Below are 17,745 nucleotides of genomic sequence, written 5' to 3' on the forward strand. Positions count from 1 at the left end.
CCCCTCGTGGATCCTTCAACTCTCATGTCAATATAGATGCAACTGGAGTCCCAAGGGGGGTACCTGATAGATTCAAAGCCCGAGACCAAATAGCTGCAAGATTCGAATCATTATTTCCATGGGTAACTATTAATAAAAATGTAGATTAGATAAATTGCATCTATTATAACCAGCAGTGATTTATTAATTACACTAGGGATGCTATTAAAGAAATAGCCGAACAATTAGGGCCTACTAGCCAAATGGCTTGGGAAAACAGAATGGCCCTAGATATGATATTAGCAGAAAAAGGTGAAGTTTGTGTTATGACAGGAACCCAATGCTGTACCTTCATTCCCAACAATACAGCCCCTGATAAAACAATTACAAAAGCTTTACAAGGTCTTACCTCCTTATCAAATGAATTAGCCACAAATTCTGGGATAAGCAACCCATTCACAGGATGGTTAGAGAAATGGTTTGGTAATTAGAAAGGACTCATGGCCTCTATTGTTACTTCTCTTGCAATCACAATAGCTGTGCTTATTCTTGTTAGATGCTGCATCATGCTCTACATTTGTGGACTAGTCCAAAAACTTATAAAAACAGCTGTTACCAAAACCTTCCCCAGTTCTTTCCAATCTTATACTAATAAATTATTTGTCCTAGAAGAACAACAAAGCCGAATCATGTTCGATAAGTTTGAAAAAGAAAATGTATAAATTCAAGAGGGGGAAATTGTTATTAAGACCAAACAGTTCTTCTCCAAAGGGTTTTGGTTCCTGGTTCTTTGTTCTATGCTAAAAGGTAATCATACCCATTCATCTATCAGCCCTCCCTCTCTCTGCTGTGCCCAAACACCCCAAGATGTACCATACCTGTCCTTCCTGTCAAACACCCACCCTCGCCTCCTTTGACGATGTCAATAGTAACCAATCAGAATTAGCCTAGATTGTGTGGTCCTACCCCAGCCCACAGGGGGAGGACACAGGAACAGGGTCTGCATTAGGGACAAAAAACTCCTGCTCTCCTTTGTTTTATGTGCTCCCTCTTGCCTCTGCCTTGCATACAGAAAGTGCCCTTCTATAAAAGTAAATTGCCTTGCTGAAAGAACTTTTGCCTGAGTGCTGGGTTAACTTTGCAACACCGAAAATTTGTTTCTAATGCATAGGTAACTGAAAAATCCAGACACATGCTGATTTCAGGCTCAGTTGAATGCAGGGGTTCAATCAATGTCACCAATTCTCAGTTCTGTTACGTGGGTTAGTTTCCTTCTCAGGGAAGATGACTGATGGCCCATGGCTCCACGGCTACACCCTGGTAGGTTCAAGCCCAATGGGAAAGAAGGGCCCACTTCCCTTCCTCTCTCTGTTTTTTTTTTTGAGACAGAGTCTCGCTCTGTCACCCTGGCTGGATTGCAGTGGCACTATCTCGGCTTACTGCAGCCTTTGCCTCCAGGGTTCAAGCGAGTCTCCTGTATCAGCCTGCTGAGTAGCTGCGATTACAGGCGTGTGCCGCCACACCTGGCTAGTTTTTGTATTATTAGTAGAGATGGGGTTTCACCATGTTGGCCAGGCTGGTCTCAAACTCCTGACCTCAAGTGATCTGCCTGCTTTGGCCTCCCAAAGTGCCGGGATTACAGATGTGAGCCACCATGCCTGGCCAGTCCCACCACATCTCTTGATCGGGTCCCAAGCTCGTTCCTGCACCAATCATCCCTCCAAGGAGAATTTGATGCCAGGCTTGCCTGATCAGTGGTTGACTGAACTCCACCCAAAATCATGTGGGCTGCAGTGGGAGACGAGAGAGTTGCCAGAGGGAAGCTGAGGAATTACTAGCAGTAGAAGGATAAACAGGTGAAAACACGGCAGCATCCACTGCACAGGCAAGCCCAGAAAGTCAGGAGTAACAGTGCATGGTGCCTGTTGTCTCTCATCAATTCCCAGAGCCTCCTGGGCTTTCCATCTGTTGTTCTTTGATCAGGGGACTTTGGTTTGGCTTTTGGCTTCAGGGTTGGCCCCAGGCATAAGCACTACCTTTGTCCACCCTGCCTAGGCAGCTGGGAACCTCCCCCTCCTGCTGGCATCTCAAGAGTAGTGTCCTTGTTATTCTTTGTTGTGTGTCAGTGAGGACTTGTGCCCTGTTTCCTCAGGGACACATTGGAGATGGCAGAGCTGCAGGAGGCAGTGGCTGTGCAGTGCTCCTGAAGGCTTTGCCAGGTGTACTAGCTAACCATACAGGCAAACTTTGGTGCCACTGCTTACCAACTGGGCAGTAACTTGCCCTCCCTGTACCTTGTTGTTTCTCCTGAATCAAACAGAAATGGCAGCAGAACCCACTTTAGAGGGCATGGGGAACGTTAACTCTGGGGGTTGCCGCAGGGCACTCAACAGTGCTTGGAACACTGAAAGCTTTCCTTACACTTGTGTTTTCTTCTTTACTTTCTCTATCATGTTTCTGGATTGTGGGGCCCTGTGCTGGTCCAGGTTTTCCAAGAAATAGATGTTGAGATGGGATTTTATCAGGGGAAACACCAGTGAGAAAACATGGGCAGTAAAGTGGGGTAGACCAGGAGACATGTCAGAACACAATGCCAGTGAAGGAGAGGGAAGGAAGGCTGAGTGGAAGCCCTTAGACCCCCATGCCGTAGGAGAGACTTCAAGTCAAAACAGGCCATCACAGGAGGATCGCTTGAGGCCAGCCTGGGCAACACAGGGAGACCGTGCCTTTTAAACAACAGCAGCAATAGCAACAGAAGACTCCCAGGGTTTCCTTGGAATGGGCCTGCATTAACAATACTCCTGCTGGACTGAGTTGGCTGGTGCTGCCTGCAGAAGGAGTGAACTCAGTGCAAACGCCAGGATGGGTTTCCTGAGTCCTTTACTCTTTCTGTAGTTGAGGGTCTGTGAGGCTTATCCTGTGGCCTCATAGACCCCTCCAGACTTTGAGATCGCACAGGGCTCTGGCTCATCCCCTGCTGGTAATCCCTGAGCCCAGCCTGACTGTGACCCACACAAGCATCCCTCAATGTGTGTGGGATGAATGAGCAGACTGGAGTCTGCAGTCCTGATGTGGATGGTTTTGAAGCTGGTTTCCTTGCACGGGAGAGTGCTCCAGTGTATTCTTCTCAATCTCCTTTCTTTCTGGAAATTAATGAAATGACTTCTTGTGAGCTCAGCTGGCTGGTCTGCACTTTCTCTTTGAGGGGAAACTCCTTTTATGTGTAAACTGCCCCAAGTGCCTTCTCAACTTGGCCCCTGCCACCATCTGAGCCACGTTCTCTACAATCGCTCCCTTGCCAATAATGCCGCCAAAGCTACAACTGAAAATCAAAGAACATTTTTAATGAAAAAGACCCTTTATATCTCTTTTTTCTGCAAATCTACTGCAATAATTTTGAGACTGTTAGTGACATTTAACCCCTTCTAGATATTCCTACCCTAGGGGGAGGCTGTTCTTGCAATACGGTTTCAAATAGTAAAATCTCTTTACATTTCACCTGTGACCTTTTCTTTCATATAATGTCAACAATATAGAAAACAAATGTTTGAAGTTTCTGAGACAGGTTTTGGTGCTTGGATAACCACCATTCTCGCCATTATTCATGTTCATTATTCAGGAAGTGTCTTCAGAGAACCTTTTTAATAAGGTTAATTTGCATATGCATGTCTCTTTTGTACTTCATGCTATCTGAGCATAGCACACACTAACATTTTAAAAAATATTCTTTCACATTATGAAAATATTAAGAGGAATGTCTTAATTTAAGTATCCTGACAAACTGTTCTTCCTTGGTGAAGCGTAGAATGAGTGGCTGGCATTTGAAAAACAAGTTAGCCAAGAACAAAGCAAGCTTTGCTTCTGCAGGGAGAAGTGATAGCCCCTTGGCAGTCTTGTTTGGAACCTGCATCTATGAATCTTTAAGCACCTACTGGGACCAGAATTTTGCCTGCTTTATTTCTAATCATCATAGCATCCCTGCAACCTAGAGCGTATCACTTCCATTTAATAGACAGGAAAGTTAGTCTCAGCGAGACAGCTAACTTGCCCACTGTTGTAGGGTTAATAGCTGGTAGATCAGGGTTCTGCTCTCAGCTCTTTCTGAATGCAAAACAAGGCTGTGTTCCCCTTGCTGCTCCACAATTCACAGCAGAGGTGATTGTGTGACCTGGGGTGTCCTACCTAGACTGACATTTGAATAAGAATGGGGGAGGCACACCCAGGCATCTACTTTTAAAATGCCCTCTTCCTTCCAAGTGATCTCCGTGTGCAGCTGGGGTTGGTGGAGAATGACTTCCCTGGGAGATGCAAACACACATCCACGGGCCACACTTGGCTAAAGTTGGGGAGGTTTAGTCTGAGACAGTTCTATCTTCCCCACGCGGGCTTGGGTGCAGTTCCGCGGCTTAGGTAGGGGGAGAAACCAAGATGTTTATGCTTAAAGGAAATTGGTTGAGTTTTAGCCCAAGAAACTTAGGCAAGATGTGCTTTCTGTCAGGGAAATGACTGTTCAGGGAAGCTCAATATCCCCGGATCCCCACTGTCTCTCTGGTAACAGCACACTGATTGTGTCTGGGGCAGCCAGCCTTCTCTCCTCCCTCACTATGAGTGCACCAACTGCTGCAGACTTAGGCGCATAACTCAACCCTGGCCAGTCAGGGCACAGTAGCTCCTGGCTCTGTGATTGGTTCAGGATGCTCACAAAACCCACGCCAAGAAGTCAGGTCCAATTTGCCAATCTGGGGATCATCGCTTGGATTTCAAAAGAGATGCGCTCCACTCCTCCTTCTCTCCCTCACTTCCCCTTGCTAGACTTGGGTCTGTGAAAGCCCCAAGCTGTCATGAGCCATCTTGGTTACACAAGGAAAGAGCCTGAGAATGGAGCCAGCACAGAGAAGTCAAGCTGAGAGATAGAGAGAGACCAAGTTCTGCATTGTTTAAGCCCCTGGATCCATTGAAGCTTGCTTATAAACTTCACAGTTATGGAAGACAGTAAATCCTCCTTTTTGCTTAAGATGGTTAAGGTTGCATTTTATGTCACTTACATCTGAAAAGAGTTCTAACTGATGCAAGATATCAGACATCACACTCACGTCAATCTAAATAAAGGAAATATGCTTCTCTGGTAGTAATTACATTTAGCCAGTCATTCCATAAATATTTATTGAGCTTCTGCTGTGTGCCACTCATTCTGTTACATGCTGTGGGAGATTCTGAGGCAGCCCTCAAGGGACAGATGGCCTGGTGGTAAGAGGACTGGAAGTAGAAGACAAAGGTAAAAGAAGGTGGAAAGGAAAGGTGCCCAGGAGATGCAGATCATAGGCTAAGGGATTCTGGGGGAGTGCTCTGAGAGAAGGCTAGGGAAAGGCTTCTCTTCTGATTGTGGGACTGTGTCTTCCTGTCCTCCAAATCCCAGGTGCTCAGCTCAGCACCTGACACAGGATGAGTGCTCAGTGAATCCTTAAAGGGTGAATGGCTTTGTGGAAGATGTGACACTGAGGAACAGGACAGCTGAACCCCTGAGCAGGGCCTCCAGAGAAAAGTTGAGCAGTCACAGATCCCTGCCCATAATTCATGCTGCCACACAGTCTGTTGGAAGAAGGAAGCCTTCACCATTTGAGTAGAGCGGCAAAGTCAGTTCCAACTAGATGTTCAACAGTGATCTGATTTCTATCCATTTGGTTAAATGAGAACCTCCTAGGATCTGTCTTTGTCTTTGATTTTCTTGATAAATAGTCCTTTTTGAAGAAACAGAAATATGATCGTTAATTTTTTTCTGATTATAAGTTTTCTACGCTTACACAATTTTCATGGAATGCATTCAAGTATAAAGAAGAAACAAGCTCTCATAATCATATAACCAAGAAATAACCACTTCTAAGGAGCATGCACACACACACACACACACACGCATACACAAAAATGGAAAAATTCTGATGTTTAAGTTAATCCACTTTAACATTATGCCATGTCTTTCCATGTCAACAAATAGAGATGTATATTATTGTTTTAATGAGTGCTGAATATGTTATTGTAGTGATGAAGTAAAATTAATGGAACCAATTTTCTGTTGTTGGGCATTTAGGGTTATTCCAGTTTTATGCTATTATAAAACCACTGCTGTGAACGAACCTCCTTATAGCTAAAATAGTCCACATTTGAAATCATTTCCTTCAGATAAATTCCTAGAAGTGCAATTGCTGGGTCAAATGAGATGCACGTTTCTAAAGCTCTGTGGCACACGTGGCCAGACTGACTTTTGCTATTTACTCTCCCCAATACTGGGTGTTATCATTTTTCTTTTCTTTTTCCTTTTTTTTTTTTTTTTTTTGCTATCTGAAGGATGGGGATATATAGACTTGCATAGGAGTGTCAGGTGAGGGGTCATGTTGATTTCTCCTGTTCCCTTTCCAGAGAGACTCCCTGACAAAGAAACCTTTCTCCTGGACATGGATCAGAGCAGAATAGCAGGTACCCCCTCTATGAACCTAGCCTCTAAGTTTGGAGGGGCTAGGAACATCACTTTGCCAGTCTCATGTTTCAGGAGAATTACCTCCTTTTCCCTTTAGTCCCAGGCCAGTGTTCCTCTGAGTGCTTAGGACACCAGGTTCTTGACATAGTGGAGAAACAGAGAGAGAATCAAACTGCTGGTCCTGTCAGCTGACTTGAGAAAGGAATGGGAGCTCCTAAGTCTCTCAATGATAGTAGGGTCATTTCATCAAGCCACAGTCCTAGGCAATCATGGATGATACTGGCAGGGGTTTTGTTAGAAAAAAGCCTAGTTTTATTCTTGCCACAATTACTATTCTTCCCTCTTTCTCCCCATTAAAGTTTAATGCTGCACTCTCAGCAAGGATGCTTTTCCTTAATTGATGGGCACTTCCTCAACTGAACCATCACAGGGGATGCAGAATGACAACAAAGAGAAGACCCAGTGAGAGGAACAAGCTACCTCAACCCGGAGTGGTGCTCCTGAAAGTCTCTACAGAAGAATCCAGAACCAGTATCCCTCGTTCATTCAACACCTAATTACCGAGGTCCTTCTCTGAGACAGGCCCTGGGTTAGCTCAGAGATAGTTCGTAAAGACCATTGCTCATGGTCTTTCTTCTGAGGGGATGTTCCTAAAATTCCAGGAGCTCAGTCATGTTGAAGTTCTATGGTGTGTGAAAAATCACAGGCCTTGGAATCATGCGACCTGGGCTCCATTATTGCCTGAATGACGCTAACCCATCATTTCTCCTCTCGGCCTCAGTTTCTTCCTCTGTGAAACAGCATGGCAACAGTAACTTTACATAGAATTGTGAGGATTCAGCAGGGTGACCATAAAAAGTGCTTCACATAGAGCTTGATGCATAGTGAGCACTCAATAAATTTTAGCTCTGTGATGATGATAATCTGTAAAATGAAGAGAATAATGCTAATCATATACAGGTGTTATAAAGATTAAATGAAATAAGGCTTGTTACGTAGCTGGTACCTAGACAGTGCTCATAAAATGGTAGTTTTAGGGCTATTTCTTTATGTTAGAAGTATCAGCCAGGTGTGGTCGCTCATGCCTGTCATCCCAGCACTTTGTGAGGTCAAGGCAGGAGGATAGCTTGAGCCCAGGAGTTCAAGACCAGCCTGGGCAACATAGTGAGATCCCATCTCTACCAAAAAAAATTACTTAGGTGGTGCATACCTGTAGTCCCAGCTACTTGGGAGGCTAGGGTGGGGGGATCACTTGAGCCCAGGAGGTCAAGATTGCAGTGAGCTATGATCGCACCATTGCACTTCAGTCTGGGTGAGAGGCAGGAAGACTCTGAGGAGATGAATTTCTGAACACATAGTAGTTTTGACTTTTAGAGACAGGCTCATCTTCTTCTTCTTTTTTTTTTTTTTTGAGACAGAGCCTTGCTCTGTTGCCCAGACTGGAATGCAGAGGCACAATCTCGGCTCACTGCAAACTAGTGTCCCTGGTTTAAGTGATTCTCCTGCCTCAGCCTCCCAAGTAGCTGGGATTACAGACGCCCACCACCATGCCTGGCTAATTTCTTTGTATTTTTAGTAGAGATGGGGTTTTACCATGTTGGCCAGGCTGGTCTTGACCAGGCTGGTCTCGAACTCCTGACCTCAGGTGATCTGCCCACCTCGGCCTCCCAAAGTTCTGGGATTATAGGCATAAGCCACTGTGCCCAGCCGACAGGCTCTTCTTCTTGAAGCATCTCCAGTAAAAGTGCAACAGGGAAGAAATAATTATTTCTTTATATTTGAGAATATAAAGTGTCTATCATTGCTTAGTAAATTATAGGAGAATAGCAGAACTGATCTGGACAACAAGAGAGAGGGAGAAAATCTCTTAGAAATGGAGAGAAATAGGGCTGGTGACCCAAGGGCCCAAGGAGACTACAACAGTCACTCTTGGTCAGAGGATAGGTGATGAATTTTCAGTAACTATTCGTGTCAAGCTTTAAGCTTGAAGTTTCCCCCCAACAGCCCTGAGCTGTAATTACCCTCTGTTTACTCCAGATTTTGTAAAGGTCTTTTATACACACAACCTTGGATTGGTGGTGCTTGGGAAAGGAAACGGGGGAGGCTTTGCTCATGCTTAAGGAGAAAGGGCTGGAGACGAGCTCTGAGCACAAACTCAAAGCAAGAGGGAACAGGAGCTTGCATCTTTACCTCTTGGGAACAACTGTGGGACAATGAGGTGAGTCATTTTAGTTGGGTATTGAAGCAGAGGGTGACTGTCCCAGAAGGCTGAGGAATGCAAATAAACAAATTGAAATAAACCCTCAGGATGATTTGCTTATTAATTAGGTTTCTAGGAAGGTCTCTCGGTATCCAAACTACTTGGAAACAAAACAAAACAAAATACAACATATGCATGAGTGTCTGGAGAGTTAAGAATGCCAATTTTTTTTTTCAGAAGCCGAGACTATTGGTGATTCTGCCACAGTAGAGAGATAAGCTCTGACGACTCAAAATTATACGTACATCAGCCTCAGGCATGGTTTCTAAAATGCTTTTCCAGTCCCAGAGGGACCAATTTGGCACTCAGGGCACATATTTGCCATGTGCCACCTCAAGCTTTGGCATCATAATCAATGAAAAGGAGCTTAATGATGAATTAAAATACACTCTTTGGGTATAAATTACCTGCCATTTAAAGCAGAAAGTCCTCCTCACTTTGTTAGTTGGTTGTGTAAATACCCAAAAGCCCTGTGCAGATTTGATCCACCCTAGAGTGAATGGATTAAGATTTAAGATGCAAGAGTGTCCTTGTTTATTTTCCCCCTTAGTGATCTGGCTTAATGATTTCTCCCTTCTCTGTGGCATTGCAAGGAATTGTTAAATACAGTATATGGCAAAATGGGAAGAAAGAACAGGGAAGAACATGGAAGGAAGAGAAAAACCTGATTAATCCATGACTTTTAAACCAGGGAAAGGACAGTGAGAGAAACAGGTGCAACATTTAGTTAGAGGGTAGGGACAGAAATAGAGAGAAAGTGGGAGAAATGAATAAAGACTTGTGACAATAATGCAGAAATAGCCACTGTTTAATGAGAACCTACCATGTACTAGTGCTGGGCTAGCAAGTATGCCAAGTACAACAAGTAAAAGCAGGCTTGGTCCTTGTTCTCATGGAGCTTAGCCTCTGTGGTCTACACAACTGGACTAGGTTTCTGAGGCAAAGGTCATGTCCACTGATAGGCTGGGACCTCTCCAAACTCACCTTGCACCACTCTGTTCTCTATATTTTTTCATCGGTCATTCTGGAATCTTTTCAGTTCTTCCAGCCTGCCAGGCTCTCCTGCTGCCCACATACTCCCACATACTCTTCATTGCTTGAGAGCTCTTTGCCCCTCTGCTATGGTTGAGATAGGATCTTGCTCTGTCACCCAGGCTGGAGTGCAGTGGCATGATCATGGCTCACTGTAGCTTTGACCTCCTAGCATTCAGGTGATCCTCCCACCTTAGCCCCCTGAGTAGCTGGGGCCACAGGTGTGCACCACCACGCCCAGCTAATTTTGTATTTTTTGTAGAGACGGTGTTTTGCCATGTTGCTCAGGCTGGTCTCGAGCTCCTGGGCTCCAGTGATCCTCCCACCTCAGCCTCCCAAAGTGCTGGGATTATAGGTGCGAGCCACTGTGCCCAGCAGTTTGGTTTGAATGTTTGTCCCCTCCAAAACTCATGTTAAAATTTAATCCCCAAGATGGCAGTATTTCGGGGTGGGAACTTTAAGAGGTGATTGGTTTATAAGGGCTGTGCCCTCATAAATGAATTAATCCACTCATAATGAATGGATTAATGGGTTAGTGGATTAATGAGTTATCCTGGGAGTAGGACTAGTGGCTTTATAAGAGAAGGAAAAGATACTTCAGCTAGCACAGTTAGCCCCCTCACCATGTGATGCCCTGCACTGCCTCGAGACGCTGCAGTCTCTGCCAGCAAGAAGACCCTCACCAGATGCAGCCCCTATACCTAGGACTTCTCAGGCTTTGTAACTGTGAGAAATAAATTCCTTTTCTTTATAAATTACTCAGTTTCAGGCATTCTGTTATAAGCAACATAAAACAGACTAAAACACCTGTCTTAACTGGCAATCTCCTTTTCAACTCAGCAAAGACTCTGTCTTCCTTCCGGAAACTTCCTTCACCCCAGGCTAGCTTAGAGCCTCCTGTTACATGTCCTCACAGTTCTCTGTAAGGCTTAATTAATACCTTGTAACTATTGGCTTCAGGCATGTCTTCCCCACTACTCTGTGATTTGCGACGTCACAGACAGTGGTTTGTTCACCAGTGCCTAGCACAGGGCCTGGCACGTGAGAAATGCTTGTTAAACATTGGGGAGGTGAAAGCCCTGTTCCTTACAGCCTAGAAGTTACGGGTCTTAATTTAATTTAATTTTTAGCTTTGGATTGTCAGTCTTTTTTTTTTTCTTGCTTCTATGGTATTTCTTGGTATTTGTTTATTAGTACATTTCGTTTTTACACACACCATCAAGGCAAAACAAAGGAGAAATGTGGCTCAAGAAATAAGCGAATTTTTTGTCTGACATAATAAGCAGGTCTTGGGAAAATAAAACATTTTCTTCAGGGGGAAGACTGGAGCATTGGTAAAGATGTTGCTGTAAATTCACTCGGACAGAGCGCTCCAGTTTAAACTCTATAGTATTAATCTATGATTAGGGCTTTTCTCATTTCTCACATTTGAAAAGGAAATATACATTTTCATTGTGACTTTAGATTACTATGCTCTATGAAGGCTTTAAACCCAAGGACACTGAAAAGGAGAAAATCTGCACTAGAAAATACAGGCAAGGAAACATGCTTTTATGATGCTAAAAGCAGTGTGATGTCAGGGTGGACAGATACATTTCTATGGAAAGTTGCACCCCCTTGAATGCCAGAGAGCACCCAGATGTATTAGTCTGAGGAAAATTTACCAGTGCCATAGTCTACCACAGAGAGCCAACTAAATGAAGTATGATTCTTACAGTGGCCTTTCAGAAACTGTAAGTGCCTACAAGTGGCCTATAAAGGGTGAATGATTAACATAGCCCCTGAGTGAAAATCATAGACGCTCTGTAGCTGATTTCACTAAATCCAGCAGTGATTAAAATAGCTGATAACCCAGTGAGAATCTTATGTGGCACAGGAAGAGGTATAAGAACATTTAGAGACCCATAGACCAGGATTCCAGACCTAACTCTATAGCTTACAAAGGAGAGGGCCTCGGGAGAATCACCCGTCCCCATGATCTTCACTTCCCTTCCTGTAAAATGGGTTTAATAGTCCATAGGCACAGGATGGCTTTATAGAACACCCAGCCCAGGGTCAGTGGGGGCAGCCGGTTTCCGCCTTTGTTCTCTCTGCTACCAGTCCTTGAGGGCCCAGTTTCCAGGCCTGGGCGGCACAGCCGTCAGCCAGACAGTCCAAGTGGGACCCTCTAGCTGAGGCTAATTATGAAGAAGGTTGGTAGGGTGAGAAAACTGTTTTATTCCACTTTGAAGGTTTGGTTTATTAGAAGCAGAGCCCTGAGGGGATTCGAAGGGCTATTAGGAAGTTCAAATACTGTCTTGGGTACAAAATGCAGTGATTTCTGCGGGTCAATTTTTCCTCCGACTAAAAGCACTTAGCGGTGGGGGCAGGGGTAAACGAGGCCACAGTGAGAAAAACATTGAGAAGAAAGGGAAAAAGAGCCGTGCACCAGGCTGACCAGCTCCAGACCGCTGAGTTCTTAAAAAATAAAAAGGAGCCAGATCCGCAGCCGCTCTGCCCGTGACCTCCTGGCAGGCAGCTCAGAGAAGAGGCGCGTCTTAGCAGCCCAGAGTCAGTGTGTCCGCGGGCGGCTCCCAGTCCCCGGGACATGGGGCTGGGGTCCTGGGATCGCAGGACTAGCGGCACACCCTACGGGCCGCACGCTGAGGGTGGGTGGCCCCACGCAGTCCCCGCCGCCGCGGGGGCCCCTCGCATCACAGGCCCGCCGCTAATTGACCTGCTGTTTTCTTCATTTCCTGGTTGATGGCTTTTCTTCCCGAGCCATCTGGGACCCTGCGGGGAGAGTCCCGCCCCTCCCCGAGGGCACCAGCCGGCTCTCTCTGCCATCCTGGCCAGCCAGCAGAGCCCGGCATGTTCAGATGCGTGGGGGAGCGGGCACGGGCCAGGCCGCCGCCCGCCTGAGCTCGCCCGAGGTCCGAGGAGCCCTGACGCACCCGGGCCCCTGGGCGGCAGCGTGGAGCCTTCCTTTGAGCGTCCCCACGGCTACCCCCACGTCGGTGGCTTCCGCCAGGGGACCTCAGCCAGCCTCAAACTAACTATTCTTGCCTTCTGGGACAGAACCCATTCTTCCCAAGCACGACAGCGCGCCAGGCTCAGGGTTGTGGAGCTCTCACTCTGTGCTGGCTTGGAGTGCTGACTTGAAGGCGTCTCATGGAGTCCTCCCCAAACCTCTTAGAGGTGAGGGCATCGGCCCCTGGGGTCAGAGTGAAGAGGCCGAGGCTCAGGAGGTCAAGAGTAGCCCCGGTTGCACACCTAATGTTGTGGGGTGCTTGTCGCTTCCCCAGAGATCATCCCTTGGATTTTTCCCTCGGGACTTTGCTTCCCTTACTCCAAGCCATGCAGTTTGGATGGGAGGACCTCATTCTGATGGTGGCTGCATGGTGATTGCATGGTGAGCTGAGCTTCTCTAACCTGCCTTTCTCAGCCGAGGACTGCTGGCGGTGTTGCATGGTTCTCTCCCTGAGAGGAAGGTGGGACAGCCGTCAGTTGGCTGGTCTTTCAGCATAAGAGTTATTGCCAGCTGCCTGGAGAGGTTGACTAGATTGTTCCCTTGTTGGGCCAGTCTAGGAACAACTGAGGAGTCAGCCTGGCTCCCACCTGCCCTGCCCCAGCGTACCCTTGTTCCCGCCAGGGCTCACAGGACAAAGGGCTGGCGCTGGAGCACAGAGTGGACTCCTTTGGCATGTAGGAAGAGGGCTGTGCGGGTGAGTGGAGAGCTCTCAGTGAAAACACGTACCTTCCTGTAGCTTGGTTATCACTTGTAAATAACATATATGGGCTTCCATCTACACTGTTGGTCCATACCCATACATTTAGGGGTAGACTTACTCACCACCATTCCCTTATCTTTCCCTCCCCACAATGAAATCGAGTAGGCCTATTGTGCTGGTGGTGGGGGTACAATCTTAAGGTAGAAGAAACAAAGAGGTGGCACTTCCATTGCGTATTTATCACACCTATGTCCAGTGGCCTCCCTCTGCACCAGCTCCTGGACTCCATGAGCTCCGTGGTACCCAACTGCTTAGACAGTTGACTAGATTAGCATATTGTCAATCTAAGTAACAAACAGAGAGATTCTCTAAAAGCCCCTCTATTCCCAAATACTTGTTCTTGAATAAATATCATTTTCTTTTAGAGAGCCTCTCTCTGTTATTTAGGTTGACAGTTCATTTGTTCATTCATTCATTCATTCATTCAGCCTAAAGATTTTCAGGCACTGGGCCAGGCATTGGCCTTTTCCAACTCATAACACTAAACTAATTTATCTCAAGTATTCAGAACAAAATTTTATGTTCCATGGGGAATTTTTAAGGATTTAGAAATTCAGATTAGTACTATTACTACTTCTTAAACTTATAAATTCCCACTCTCTTTGAGGGAAATCACATTAATTTTTGTTTTCATGTATCTAGAAAATTATCTTCCTGATTTGAAACAAAAATGTTTCTCTGATTCAGTCAGAATCACAGCTAAGATATTTACTGAAAGAATAAGTAACAACTACATACATGACAACTGAATAAATAAGGAGAGAAATCTCTTCAAATAAGATGATGTAGGTTGATTCACCTAACCAAATTACGGTTATTTCATTAACTCTCCAAGCGAAATTCCAAAGCCTCATTCTATTTGCTGAGGTAAATTTGTTTAACATGAAGCCCTGACACCCTTTAAAATAATTATGCTTCTAAATGAAAGTTTAATTTTTAATCATTTGCTTTGCTAAAATAGAAGCAAATGAGAGGATAATATGACAATTTAAAGGATTTGCAGTAGATCCCCTAGAGCTGGAGGAGACATGATTTTTTTCTGAGTACTGCTGACTAGTATAGGAATTTTAAGTATGGTAATAGAACTACTTCCTCACAATGTTTGCTTCTTTGATGAAAATGGAACCAGAGGGAATTAGAAGCCCACAGAGGTGAGGCAGGTCAACGCTACCTGATCAATCGCCAACCTTAATGGAGACTGATCTTCTCTCCACCGTAACAGGTCCTCTAGTGGATTTCTGGACTTGAGATTCAGGGCACTGCAATGCAAGTTTCATTATAAAAATGAGCCAATTCTCAGTGAAACAGAATTAAAACAATTTTCATCTTAGAAGAGGTAGATGCTGTTGTGTATTTGCAAATAATGAAATCTACACAATAGGAGGGACAGCTTAGTTCATCTCCTCTTTTGGCTAAATGCTGTGATTTTTGGTTTGTTTGCTTTTTAAGTCACTTTCCAGCAGTTGAATATGATATCTGCCCAGTTCAGGTTTAGAATGTGAATTCTTTTTAGAGATATTTTTAATCAGAATTACCAAACGATGAGCGAAAAACAAAGCCCCTTTTAATTAATAACTCTCTGGATAATAGGCTTGATTAAGGAGTTTTACTCTCTTCGTTGTGACACACTCTTGCAAATAACCACTTTTTTCTCTTTGCAGGAATTGTGAATTGTTGCAATTCTCTTTACCTTTTCACATTCCTCATTGCTTCAGGTGGCAGAGGATACAATTTTCAATACCACCGGGTGCTTATTTACTTAAGATAAGATGAAAACAGCATAGAAGGAAAATGTACTTGTAATTCTCTTTTGTAGGGCTGCTTCAAGAACTGAGCTCAGAGATTGAGGGCTCATTTTACAGCGGCCTTGACTTGTAATCTATATTTTGTTTGATTAACTGTCCCTGGTCCTTTTAAAACTGGTGAGAGTGCAGTGACATTCACAGTAGTCGGAGTCTTTAGGAGTTCATATATGACTTTTCTAAAGCTTACTACCATTATTACTTATTGCACAAACAACCATAAGGCACTATTAATATAAATCAAAGTGAAAGGGAAAGTTCATCCACAATCTTAATCAAATTGTTTTCATTTTTCAAGTTTCCTCCCAAATCTTGTTTATGGACAGAAGAATTTTTTACACAGTTGTAATTGTAGGATAGATAAGATTTTGTATTTTACTTTTAAATGTAAAATATTATCCACATTTTTCAGTATTACATTATAGTCTTCACAATTAAAATGCTTATTTCATTAAATGGTGAGACTCTAATTTAACCATTTTTCATTTATGAACATTTAGATTAAAAACATAGTATATAGGACCGGTGCAGTGGCTCACACCTGTAATTCCAGCACTTTGGGAGGCCGAGGCGGGCGGATCACAAGATCAGGAGATGGAGACCATCCTGGCTAACGCGGTGAAACCCCGTCTCTACTACAAAAAAAAATACAAAAAATTAGCCAGGCGTGGTGGTGGGCACCTGTAGTCCCAGCTACTTGGGAGGCTGAGGCAGGAGAATGGCATGAACCCGGGAGGCGGAGCTTGCAGTGAGCCCAGATCGCACCACTGCACTCCAGCCTGGGCAACAGAGCAAGACTCTGTCTCAAAAAACAAACAAACAAACAAACAAAACAAAAAACAAACAAACAAAAAAACCACGGTATATAAATGTTGCTGCAAAGTGTATTTTTATTGCATAATTCAAAAAATTCTTTTGGGTTATCTCCTTGGTATAATGTCCTCAAAGTGAGGTCAAAGGCTATGAATATTTTTATTCTTTTTAGCATATTACAACATTATATTCTTAATGAGTTGTACTTGTTTACGCTGCAATTTTTGACAATATCAGTTTTATCTGTTAGCATTGGGAATTCCCATTTAAATTTTTTTCCACTTGAACAGCTAGAAAGTGGCTATATTTTGACATCATTATATCATTGTCAGTAGACCAATGAATGTTATCTCTTGCTCTCTTGGGAAAGAATGTGATGGCACTTCTTTAGATCCTTAAGTCATCATTTCATAAACTAATGATTAGGATACAACCAAGGGAAATATTATTTAGAAATCTTAGCATGATTTAATTTCTATTTTCTCATCTTCTCACTTTCTTTTATCTGTTTTTAGTTGGGGTGTTAGAAGCAGAAGGGGTCCCAGCAGGGATTAAAGGGGGATACAGTGCTACTGTTCCCCAAATTGTTCACCCAATGCCCTGTCATTCCCTATGTCTTTGCTTATGCCCTCCATTTAGCCTGGAAGACCCTTTCCTTTTGTCCCCATTTTAATGACTGTGGTAGGCAGAATTCTACAACCAAGATTCCAAGCTCTACTCCCCAGAACTCACTGATTGATAAGCTATCACTCCCATGATTATGTTTTGTTATATGGCATAGTTGACTTCAAGATAGGCTTAGGCCAGGTGCGATGACTCACACCTGTAATCCCAGCACTTTGGGAGGCTGAGGCGGGGGGATCACAAGGTCAAGAGATTGAGACCATCCTGGCCAACATGGTGAAACCCCATCTCTACTAAAAATACAAAAATTAGCTGGGCGTGGTAGTGCGCGGCTGAGGCAGGAGAATCACTTGAACCTGGGAGGTGGAGGTTGCAGTGAGCTGAGATCGTGCCACTGCACTCCAGTCTGGCGACAGAGCGAGACTGTCTCAAAAAAAGAAAAAAAAAGATAGGCTTATCTGGGTGGGCTTGACCTAATCATATGAGTTCTTTTAAAAGCTGAGAGTTTTCTTTTCTGATTGCAGAGGGGAAGTCATAGATTTGAAGCCCTTGGAGGGATTTGGCATGCCACTGCTGGCTCAAAGATGGAGGCAGCCACATGTCAAGGAGTGTGGGCATCCTTCAGGAGCTGCGAGTAGCCCCACCTGACAGCCAGCAAGGAAACAGTGACCTCAGACCTGCAGCTGCAATCAGTCAGCAACCTGAATGAGCGTGGAAGCAGATTCTTCCCTGGAGCTTTCAGGTAAGAGCTGAGATGGCCAACATCTTGTTTTAGGCCTTGTGAGATCTTATGCAGAGAACCCAGCTGAGACCACCTGGACTTCTGACTCACACAACTGTGAAGTAAACGAGGATGTTGTTTTAAGCTGCTAAATTGGTGGTAATTTGTTAGAGTAACAACAGAAAACAGATACAATGACATAGAGCTTTGTCTTATATAATAAACATTAATTTTAGCCAACTTGCTGGACTTGAGAGAGTTGACATGTAACC

The 17,745-nt window shown here is 44.5% G+C and overlaps 1 long non-coding RNA gene across 1 annotated transcript in view, besides 2 other annotated features; it reads right to left on the reverse strand.

Annotated features, from left to right (window-relative positions):
* Positions 1-17,745, reverse strand: part of LOC124909381 (uncharacterized) — a 65,088-nt gene that overhangs the window by 17,017 nt on the left and 30,326 nt on the right. The gene's annotated exons all lie outside the window — the stretch shown is intronic.
* Positions 11,981-12,504: an enhancer, noted in NCBI's record as "OCT4-NANOG-H3K27ac-H3K4me1 hESC enhancer chr3:54121379-54121902 (GRCh37/hg19 assembly coordinates)". NCBI's record gives its function as "activates a minimal SCP1, AML or CMV promoter by ChIP-STARR-seq in naive H9 embryonic stem cells {active_cell/tissue: H9 hESC(naive)}" and the evidence as "EXISTENCE:reporter gene assay evidence [ECO:0000049][PMID:30033119]".
* Positions 12,505-13,027: an enhancer, noted in NCBI's record as "OCT4-NANOG-H3K27ac-H3K4me1 hESC enhancer chr3:54121903-54122425 (GRCh37/hg19 assembly coordinates)". NCBI's record gives its function as "activates a minimal SCP1, AML or CMV promoter by ChIP-STARR-seq in naive H9 embryonic stem cells {active_cell/tissue: H9 hESC(naive)}" and the evidence as "EXISTENCE:reporter gene assay evidence [ECO:0000049][PMID:30033119]".

This window comes from Homo sapiens, chromosome 3, assembly GCF_000001405.40.
Source record: "Homo sapiens chromosome 3, GRCh38.p14 Primary Assembly".
Classification (NCBI taxonomy): Eukaryota; Metazoa; Chordata; class Mammalia; order Primates; family Hominidae; genus Homo; species Homo sapiens.